General features: G+C 46.9%; 1 protein-coding gene across 4 annotated transcripts in view, besides 6 other annotated features; it reads left to right on the top strand.

Moving 5' to 3' along the window:
- Window positions 367–661: an enhancer, noted in NCBI's record as "tiled region #9864; HepG2 Activating DNase matched - State 1:Tss". NCBI's record gives its function as "activates a minimal TATA promoter and a strong SV40 promoter by Sharpr-MPRA in HepG2 cells {active_cell/tissue: HepG2}" and the evidence as "EXISTENCE:reporter gene assay evidence [ECO:0000049][PMID:27701403]".
- Window positions 1,196–1,875: a silencer, noted in NCBI's record as "silent region_8185". NCBI's record gives its function as "represses an Ori minimal core promoter by ATAC-STARR-seq in GM12878 lymphoblastoid cells {active_cell/tissue: GM12878}" and the evidence as "EXISTENCE:reporter gene assay evidence [ECO:0000049][PMID:35858748]".
- Window positions 1,196–2,137: a biological region, named in NCBI's record as "H3K27ac hESC enhancer GRCh37_chr17:8533973-8534750".
- Window positions 1,360–2,137: an enhancer, noted in NCBI's record as "H3K27ac hESC enhancer chr17:8533973-8534750 (GRCh37/hg19 assembly coordinates)". NCBI's record gives its function as "activates a minimal SCP1, AML or CMV promoter by ChIP-STARR-seq in primed H9 embryonic stem cells {active_cell/tissue: H9 hESC(primed)}" and the evidence as "EXISTENCE:reporter gene assay evidence [ECO:0000049][PMID:30033119]".
- The window catches only part of MYH10 (myosin heavy chain 10), a 156,514-nt gene continuing 148,180 nt past the window's right edge, over window positions 2,067–10,400 (top strand). For all 4 annotated transcript variants that reach the window (NM_001375266.1, NM_005964.5, NM_001256095.2 and 1 more), the window contains exons 1-2: window positions 2,067–2,138; window positions 9,515–9,890. In NM_001375266.1, coding sequence (NP_001362195.1) covers window positions 9,546–9,890 — 345 coding nt within the window. In that variant the 5' untranslated portion in view covers window positions 2,067–2,138; window positions 9,515–9,545. The remainder of the gene's footprint in view (window positions 2,139–9,514; window positions 9,891–10,400) is intronic.
- Window positions 2,138–2,915: an enhancer, noted in NCBI's record as "H3K27ac hESC enhancer chr17:8533195-8533972 (GRCh37/hg19 assembly coordinates)". NCBI's record gives its function as "activates a minimal SCP1, AML or CMV promoter by ChIP-STARR-seq in primed H9 embryonic stem cells {active_cell/tissue: H9 hESC(primed)}" and the evidence as "EXISTENCE:reporter gene assay evidence [ECO:0000049][PMID:30033119]".
- Window positions 2,916–3,694: an enhancer, noted in NCBI's record as "H3K27ac hESC enhancer chr17:8532416-8533194 (GRCh37/hg19 assembly coordinates)". NCBI's record gives its function as "activates a minimal SCP1, AML or CMV promoter by ChIP-STARR-seq in primed H9 embryonic stem cells {active_cell/tissue: H9 hESC(primed)}" and the evidence as "EXISTENCE:reporter gene assay evidence [ECO:0000049][PMID:30033119]".

Here is a 10,400-nt window from a genome sequence, read left to right as displayed (position 1 = left end):
CCCGGGAGGCGAAGATTGCAGTGAGCTGAGAACATGCCAGTTCACTCCAGCCTGGTAACAGAGCGAGACTCCATCTCAAAGAAACAAACAAAACAAAACAAAAAAATATATATACACACACATATATATACATATATACATATATATACACATATATATGCAAAAGTTTTTGAATTATGAGAAACTACTGACTCTGTGGCTTACAGTGTTATTCGCGAGTGGATGCACTAAGCATAGAACATTGCACTGAGAAATGACTTCGGTGGCTGACAAAGTGGAGACTCAGGCCTCAGAGAGGGAGTCTTTGGTCTTCTCTAAACACATTTTAAAATTCATTAGAGGAATATCATTCATATATTTTGGAAAGTTAATTTGTACTCCATGTGCAGACTGCATTAGAAGGACAGACCTCTTCACAGAGCCAAGTCACAAGACACCTGGACACGGGGTAGTACCCCAGCAGGCAGGTGGGGGTGGGGGACCAGATGCAGCAGGACAAAGGACAAAACAGAGCCTGGTTCGGACTTCCCCAGGAAGGACTCTGCACTCAGCTGCCTTCCAGCCTCTTCTGAATTCCACCAACCCTTCCTTAGGACTTCCTGCCTTGTTTTTTGCTTAATTCACTTTTTGCCAGACTAGACGTTTCCTAGGCTTAGGCAAACACATCATTATCACATGTATTAAAATGCTCCCATAGCCTACATTAATAACTGATTAATAACTGCATCTTGCTGTGAATTTTTATGATCTTGACTTTCAGGTTTTGTATGAATAATTCATTTTGTTCATGTGATTTAGACTTTATTATATTTATATATAATTATGCAAGAGTTTTGTTGCAGTTGCCTAGATTCTGCAGACATTTCATTAAATTTTATTTACTTTGATTTTTCCAGTTTCCTTTCGTTATTTTGGGGCCACTGTTTTTCAGTCTCCAACGTTTTCATAAGCCCTAGGGGATATGACAGCGCTACAGGAATCCAGCCTTATATTCTTAAGAACCTCTCATAGCCCTTCACGTAGGGAGCTCTGATGAATGAATGAAGGAGCGACTGAACGAGTGAATGAATGAGGTGAATAAAGTTTCTTCCAAGTTTTCTCTCCAAGGTCGGTTCTCTTCTCATTCTTCTGGAATCTCAGCCTTGCCTGGAGGCTGGGCAGGAGAGCCTCTCACCCCGCTAACACCAAAACTGCGACCTTGGAGGACCGTGTCCTGCGCCTGGCGCTCGGCCGATCCCGGCAGAGTCCGCCTGGGGCCGGGGTCGGGACAGTGGCCGCAGCGTGGAGCGCAGCCGGGTCCCGGGCCAAACCCTGTGCGCATGGGCGGAGCAGCGCCCTCCCCCGCGTTCCTTCCCCCACTGCAGGTGAGTCGCAGCGCCGCGGCCCCAACCCCGCGCAGCCCCGGGGGTGACGTCAGGACTCTGGACCGCGCTCCGCCCCGCCCCTGCAGGCAACGCTGAGGGCCCGCGACTCCGCGGTGGAACCCCGTCCCGCTGCGGTACATGCCGGCTGCCGCAAGCACAGGGGGCGACCGGGCGCTCGAATGTGCTGCGGCTGCGGCGGCTGCCTGACGCTAGGACGAGGAGTCTGCAGTCAGAGCGCCAGCCTCCTGCCGCGGCCCACCTGCCCCGCGGCCCGCACAGCCAATGTCAGCGCAGCGCGCCGGCCGCCGCGGGGCCCGCACCCGCAGCCTCGCGGGATCGCCGGGCGTTCAGCCAGCCTCAGCTGTCCATCTACGCACGAGCCAGCCAATCCCGCGCCACTGCCCCGGCCGCACCTCCCGGAGCCTATGACGGGCGTAAGAGCCAGCCCATGAGATTGGGGCCTCTGTGGCCTGGGCTGGGAGCGGGAGCCAATGAGCGTCATTCCAGGTGGGTGGAGGGAGCCGGACTCGGGAAGGTAGCTTCGTTCGGGTTGCTAACGTCTTCCCTTGGAGATGGGCGCGCAAACCAACCAGTGGGTCTGGGGGCGGCGGTGATGGGCGTGGAGCTGGCCCAATGAGGGTAGGGGTGGGTGGGGCAGCCCCGAGCAGCAGTGCTAAAGGAGCCCGGCGGAGGCAGCGGTGGGTTTGGGACTGAGGCGCTGGATCTGTGGTCGCGGCTGGGGACGTGCGCCCGCGCCACCATCTTCGGCTGAAGGTGAGAGGTGCGGCTACCCGGGTCCGAGTGCACGGCCCAGGGCTGGGGGACAGTTTGTGGAGGGAGGAATGGCTCCTGGGCTGAGGGGTCCCGGGCGGCTCTGGAGGACAGGAACGGGGGACCGAAGCGGGAGCTGGGGAAGACAGAGGGGCTTCTGAGCTGTAGGGTTTGTGCTGCGGGGACCTTAGGTTAGTTTGAGCAGGGTCCTGGGCTGGGGGCACTGGGACCTCAGTGGGTGGAGATGGAGAGACTCCCGGAGGAGCGGGGAATGAAGTCCTTGTGAAACCCGCGGGGGTCAGGGCCTGGGTGTGCAGGAGGGCGACCCCTGGGGGGCTGGGGGATGGAGATCTGGGGGTGGGGACGTGAGGACCAGGTTCTCGGTGGGTGGGATCCCTGGGGGCGCGAGGTCGAGGGGCTAGTGTCCCGGCGGAGGTCTCGGCGTGCCCCGCGAGCCAGTGTCTGCCTCCCAGGAAGAGAGGGGATTCTAAGCGGGGCTGGAAAGCGCAGTCCCGGCGGTAGGGTGGGGGGGCGCTGGGCAGGAAGGGCCCCTGCGTGGGTTGCTGGGTGGGTTAGGCCTGGCGCGACCGGTCCCCCGCAGCACCAGAGGGGTTCACCATGGGCTTGGAAGGCGGGCGGCGCGCGCCCGACCCGTGGGTGGAGGGACAGGAGGGCATTGGCTCTGCGCGGCCGGGGAAGCGCGCGGCGGGTGAGGGGCTCCGGAGCCGGCCGCGGGCGTGGGGAGGGTCGGACTCCGCCGGCGCCGGGGAAGGAGCGCGGGAGGAGGGCGTCCTGCCGCGCCCTCCGTGGAGCGCCTAGGCCGGGGGTGGACGCCCTGCGAGGCCCAGGCGGTTTGAGGGGGCGAGGCGGGAAATGTGGCGGGGCGCGCTGCAGCAGGACGGCCGGGGGGAGGGTCAGCACTCGCCTCGGGATCCCTTTATTGTGTAAGCGAGCTGGGAATGGCTCGCCGCAGTCTCTTCATTGCCTTCTGCAGTTGGGGGTCACACCCTGATCCCATAAAATCGGACTGGAATTGGTTCGGAGGGAAGTTGAAGCCGCGGAGTCCTGGCATTTGTGGGGGCTTTGTGGGCCTGTGGTGGGCGGATGCGGCCCTGGGAAGCGGGAGGCCCCCAGCCAGGCCTGTTTGGAACTAGGGCCTTAGGAAGGAGGTTGGCGACTCGGCGGGTCAGACCGGGCTGGTGAGGTTTGGATAACGTGGCCTCTGCCTACAGCCGTTATCTCTGTTTCTTTAGGGCCTCTGCAGCTCCCTTCAAGATCACTGCGGTGGATGGAAGGGGGTGGGGTGGGCTGGGGTGGGGTAGGGGAAAGCAGGCGGGGTAGATGCAGACTGCAGATGAAACAAAGACTGCTGTTTTCGCTGAATAATGTAATACCAAACATAATACTTTGGCTTTGCTGAGATTTTGTTTTTTAACGTTGAAACTGAGGATTCTTTGAGTCAGGTTTAATTATTCTTGATAGTATCTCACTCTGGAAAACTTTATAATCTATTTATTGTTTTATCTCCTTCATCAATCTGCCTTTATTAATTATTCTTTGAGTCCCTTGCTTTTGATGTTTAAGTATGCCCTGCCTGTCTCGGGTTCTGGAAAAGTGGCCATTTTATGCATCTCCTTACTTCTGCATCTTAAATTCAGTTCTTCCCCGTCCTTATCTGGAGAAAGCATATGGTGTAATTGTGCGATATAGCACGAGCTTTGGCAGCAGAAGGATGTGACCCCTGCGAGCCTGGCTTTTCATTTGGGCTCCATAGGGAAATCATTATAACGAAGGCAGCTGAGATGGAAGGTGAGATGGAGGAAATCTTGAAGGGCACGTTGTAGGGTGGAAGACTATATGCTTCAGCGGTTTATGCACTTTATCACATGTGAGGAATTAAAGTTCCTGGTGTTGGATCCTAGTTTTGGAAATATTAAACACAGTATAGAGATATTAATTGGGAGATGGGGCAGGCCATAAGTAGCAATAGTGGCCTTTTGTGTTTGGTTTGTGTTTGTGATCATTGGGTTGAGCAGGATTTTGATAAATTAGCAGACTCGTCCAGCCCTGTCATGTAAGTGACCTCAATGGTAGCAGTACCCAAATTGGGACAGTTCTGTTTTAGCTCATCTGTTATAGATGGATGCTCTGTCATGGATAATTTATCCATCCTTCTTGTTTGCCTTTCTATGTGCAGGCCGTTCATAAAATTGAATTGTTTGCCTCTGTCCACACTCATAGTAGGTGCTGGGAGGGATTTGAAAAGTTTGCTGGGTGACATTTCATTGGAAGTGAAAAATGACCTGGGGGTGGAGCCCCAGGGGTGTGTGTGTCAAACCACTGAAAGGGATGGCAACTTTGGCTCTGTAGGGGGCTAATTCATACACAGATAAATGATTTAATTGTAATTAGGCAGCAATTTAAAATGACACTAATAACCCTCAGACCATCTTTATGTTCGCTAACAAAAAGATTCCTGTTTGTCTTTATTTCCCCTAAGTTATGGGTATCTTTTTCTATAAAATATATAAAACCTTTGCCAGATGATTCATTGGTTAAGCCTATACTTTTTAAGCCGTAATTGATTGGGTTTTTATTTAGTAGAAAGGTAGTATATAGCATTGTACACTACACACCCTTCAAAATTTCCTCCATGTCACCTTCCATCATTGTAGTGTGTACTCTGGAGCTGAACTCTGAGTTTAATCCCAGCTCTGCTACTTGTTAGCTGTGTGCCCTTGGGCTGGTTATTGGCTTTCTCTGTACCTCAGATTCCTCATCTGTAAAATGGAGATATTAATAGTGCCTACCTCATAGGGCTGTTGTGAGGATTAAGAGTTGATGTATGTAAACTGCTTAGAATAGTGCCTGGCCATAATTAGTGATATATGACAATGGTATCTGCTGTTTTAAAAATCATAGTGTTGTCCTTCCTGCAAAGCAAATCACTGGTGAGTGGTACACTGTTAAACACCAGTATTATCCAGATTGGGTACCAATGTATTATGGAGTGAAATAAATGTATTTGACAATTACAAGTGAAGAATTAAACTGAACAAAATATCTCCAATGGTCTCATGAACTCTATCAGGTAAACAATAATATGAACACTTAACAGCTGCAAAGCCCTCTGGTACAACGCAGGGTAGGGTAAGAAGAAAGTCAGGAGAACAGTACAAAATGTTAGGAGAAGGAAAAGGATTAAATTGCCACATTGACCTGAAAAGAACTTCTGAAAGGATGGCATTTGGGTCAGGAGTTGAAGGAATAATAGCTTTTTGGTTGTGGAGAAGTTGAATTTCACTATGAGGGTTGGGACCATTCACGTAAATATTGATCAATAGGTACAGATCCCCTGTTATATACCAGGGACTAGACAAAATGCTCAAGATACAGCGTGGAACAGATGACTCTCCTCATAGTGTTTAGTTGTAGAAGAGACTGAAAAGGTGAAAGTCATTGGTAATCCTACTACCCAGTAAAGACCCAATGAATATTTGTTCCGTTTAAAAAAAAAATACACACGTGTATGTAGTTTTCCCCACAAAATTGGGAACATGCTGTGTAATTACACTTTTGTGTTCTACTGGGTTTTTTAAAATACTAAATTACAAGCATTTCCCCATCTAGAAAAAGTACTGATAATATGTAAGATGTCCCAATTTGATAAAATAATTTTAAGATATATAATCTACTGCTTCTAGACCTGTTCTAGAAGTTATTTGTTAAATTATTCTAATTTATAGTCACCTGCTAAATTTAAGCATCTAATTACATGTCCAGTGTAAAATTTAAGAAGTGTGTGCGTGTCTACTGACAGCAAGACAGTTTCCTAAGTGCTCTGTAGGATATGCAGTTTACACCTGATAAGAATAGTAAGAGAAACTTGTCATATTTTGTTATAGTTGAATATTTTCTTTTAATAGATTCTACCCTTCTGAAAGGTGGAGTGTGTATCCTATTATTTGTTCTCAAATTTACCTGTGATGTTTCCCACCTTGAAGCCATGCCTCCTTTCTTCTTTTTTTTTAAATTTTTTATTTTACTTATTATTATTATTATTATTATTATTATTATTTATTATTATTTTGAGACAGAGTCTCATTCTGTTGCCGAGGCTGGAGTGCAGTGGTGTGATTTCAGCTCACTACAACCTCTGCCTCCTGGGCTCAAGTGATCTTCCTGCCTCATCCTCCTGAAGAACTGGGACTGCAGGCCTGTGACACCAAGCCCAGCTAATTTTTTGTATTTTTTGTAGAGACGGGGTTTCGCTATGTTGCCCAGGCTGGTCTTGAACACCTGGACTCGAGCAATCTACCTGCCTCGCCCTCCCAAAGCGCTGGGATTACAGGCGTGAGCCACCCCACCTGGCCTCCTTTCTTTTTACCAGTGTGCAACGTTTAAGTTGGAAAGAGACAACTTGTTAATAGTGTTATTAGACCAGTCCCTAGAGGCTTTTAAAACTGTTATGCAGAATGTACATGTATCTATGAATGTTTTCTGTATTGCCCTCTCCAAAGAGGATGTCTTAGAAGACTAATGCAAGTTTAGGTATAAAATGTGTTAGCAATTTTATTTGTATAGAAGTTTTAATAACATTAATCACATGTTGTGTGATTTTTTGTTTCATCTTATTTTGCGGTTTTTGTTTTATCCAAGTCTATAACCTTTAAGACATCAACATGTTATTTAAATTGTTATGAATTAGTCTAGAATTTGGTTTTCAACCTCTTTTTCTACTCTAACATACCTGCTGGTAGCAGTGGCGCACCATGGCAACCACAGAACTTTGGAGCAATGGTTGTCAAATGTGTCCCAGGACCAGCAGTGGCAGCAGCATCTGGGAACTTGTTAGAAATGCAAATTCTGAGGCTCAGGCTGGACGCGGTGGCTCACGCTTGTAATCCCAGCACTTTGGGAGGCCGAGGCAGGTGGATCACCTGAGGTGAGGAGTTCAAGACCAGCCTGACCAACATGGTGAAACCCCATCTCTATTAAAAATACAAAAATTAGCGGGTCATGGTGCAGGCCTGCCTGTAATCCCAGCTACTTGGGAGGCTGAGGCAAGAGAATCACTTGAACCCTGGAGGCAGAGGTTGCAGTGAGCTGAGATTGCGTCCACTGCACTCCAGCCTGGGCAACAGGGTGAAACTCTGTCTCAAAAAAAAAAAAAATAGTTCTCAGGCTCTACCCTATACCTACTGAATCAGGGACTCTGGGATAGAGCCCAGCAATCTGTATTTTAATAAACCCTCTAGGTGCTGCAAATGCATGCCTGAATTTGACAGCCGCTACTATAGAAGATGAGTGTTTGTAACGCATTACATTGCAACAAGTAATTTCTGAAGAATCTTAGCTATTTGGTTCTAGTAAATTATTTTTTTAAATTTATTTTTGTTTGTTTTTGAGACGGAGTCTTGCTCTGTCACCCAGCCTGGAGTGCAGTGGCACGATCTCAGCTCACTGCAACCTCCGCCTCTCAGGTTCAAGCAATTCTCCTGCCTCAGCCTCCTGAGTGGCTGGGATTACAGGCACCCACCACCACGCCTGGCTAATTTTTTGTTATTTTTGGTGGAGATGGGGTTTCACCATGTTGGCCAGGCTGGTCTCGAACTTCTGACCTCAGGTGATCCACCCATCTCGGCCTCCCAAAGTGCTAGGATTATAGGCATGAGCTACTGCACCCAGCTGGTTCTAGTAAATTATTAGTAGTAGTTAAAGGGCTAGATATGCACCAACACGCCTGGCTAATTTTTAAATTTTTCTGTAGAGGCGGGATCTTGCTATGTTGCCCAGGCTGGTCTCAAATATTTGGCTTCAAGCACTCCTCCCACCTTAGCCCCTCAAGTTGCTGAGATAACAGTTATGGGCCATTGTGCCCAGAAGTTGGTTGAATGTGTAACCACTATCAGTGATTAATCTTTTAGGATACAGATAGAGCCCTTTAGAATCTAGAGAACGTTATAGCACATATATACACACGCTAAGTGCATAATATTTTTATACCATTTCAGGGATTTTGTTGAAGTTGAGATTAGCTGATGGACTCAAGAACCTCTTAACAACCTTAGACTACTTTATGATTTCCTCTTGCCTACAAAGAACCTCTAGCATTTTTGGCTAGGGGAGTGGAGTGAACAGAGGGGAGAAGTGGGGATTTGATAGAGCAAGAGTAGGTACTCAGTTGGCTTCTTCTGTTGGTTTGAATGAAGTGATGGAAGCCATGCCTATGAAATTTATAATAACCTGGAATTTGGAGTAGCAGCAAAAATGTTTAAGTTGGTATCAAATCCCAAAAAGATCCTGTCAGGCAATCATGATGAGTCACATTAGAAAGATGATGGATGTAAAATCCTGCCATTTGGTCCAGAAAGCCAGTGCACAAGTAGAGGAGGGGACATAGCTTAGCCACAAAGTGATGGAGCTTCCTCTGCTAGCCCTTTGTGAGCCAATGGTAAATGGGTGCTAAATAAAACAACTAGGTCTTGAGATACATTAATTGTAAATGTCACAGAACCAGTACTTTCCTCAATGTGGCTAAGATAGTTGATGGTTCCTTTTTCTTCTGCACTGGTCAGACCATATCTGGGCTATGATGTTTGCTTCTGGGCCACACACTTTAGAGGGAAGACAAGCAGCATGTTGGAGTCTGTTTAGGCGAGAGATCCGGCAGGGGAAGGAGTCTTGGTGAATGAGGGGTGGAGGAGCTGCAGGATGGGAATAGAGGCCTGAACTGCTACCATGACATATTCAAAAGGCTGCCGTGTGAAGCCAAGTTATGCTTGTCTTTTGTGGTCCCAGTTGATCACATTAAGACCTCATGGGGCCATAGAAAAGCTAGAGGGAGACTGATTTGGGTTATTCATAAGAAGAACTTTAAGTCTGTTATCTGAGGGTAGAATGAGAGGCATGTTTTAGATTCTTTAGATTCTTTACTCTTCTGACAATCATGTGTTTTTGTAGCTGTTTCCTTGTGGTCATATTAATTCTGGTACCACTTCATGAACCTTTTATTACCCATCTTTGTTTTCTTTTTTTTTTTCCCTTCTTAACTCCCTGTTTAATTTGTGGTGAGGGTGAAAGAGGAGATAAAGAAAAAAAAGGGTCAACTTGTAACTTTGCCTTTTCTTTTCTTTTCTTTTCTTTTTTTTGCCCTCAGTAACTGAGGGCAAACCCATCAGACAACCAGAGCCATAATTTGTGGTCACCGCTGAAATTTACCTTGGAAACTCGGTTAGTATGGCTGTGAAGAGGTATACCCCAGCTCCTTAACACAGAGTTAATGCTTAATCTAAGGTTTTAAGTTTCTTAGAAAAGAAAAACGTGTACATTCTTTTGTTTCTTAAACATCTAATTTTGCCCTCCTCCTCTTCTCTTAGAGGCAATTGCTTTTGGATCGTTCCATTTACAATGGCGCAGAGAACTGGACTCGAGGATCCAGAGAGGTATCTCTTTGTGGACAGGGCTGTCATCTACAACCCTGCCACTCAAGCTGATTGGACAGCTAAAAAGCTAGTGTGGATTCCATCAGAACGCCATGGTTTTGAGGCAGCTAGTATCAAAGAAGAACGGGGAGATGAAGTTATGGTGGAGTTGGCAGAGAATGGAAAGAAAGCAATGGTCAACAAAGATGATATTCAGAAGATGAACCCACCTAAGTTTTCCAAGGTGGAGGATATGGCAGAATTGACATGCTTGAATGAAGCTTCCGTTTTACATAATCTGAAGGATCGCTACTATTCAGGACTAATCTATGTAAGTATTTCTTCCAAATAATCATGTGAAGTGGTAGCTAGGAATTAATGTAAATTATACATCTTGTCATAATCAAATGAGAATGTGGAATACCCAAACTCTCTGTTTAACATTTCTATTTCTCTTTAAGATAGAAAGATTTGTTGCTTGCTTACCCATGTCTTGCTTTTCTTTGAATCTTAACACATTAAGTTTAAATAATACAGGCTGCAATTACATATAATAAAATGGCATTTGAAGACTTTTGTAGTGGTCTTCTGGAGCATAATAAGGTGGGAGAGAGCATGTAACAGGAAGACCAGAAGGTTTAATAAGGTAAAGAGAGTTGCATTAATTGGACGCAGACAGCAAAACGGTCAAAAATCAAGTGCATACCCAAGAGTAAAGTGGAGGGGCTGTAAGCTGAGAAATTTCTGTGGACAGCATGAACAGCTTCACTGGATGTAGTAGGGAAGTAGGAAAGATGAATGCTGAGGTTTTTAAGAGGAAACAATTAGGGTAAGATTGAGG

The sequence above is a fragment of the Homo sapiens genome, chromosome 17 (genome assembly GCF_000001405.40).
Source record: "Homo sapiens chromosome 17, GRCh38.p14 Primary Assembly".
NCBI classification, from domain to species: Eukaryota; Metazoa; Chordata; class Mammalia; order Primates; family Hominidae; genus Homo; species Homo sapiens.
Note: the sequence above shows the minus strand (reverse complement) of the source record. Positions and strands in the feature narration are given on the sequence as shown.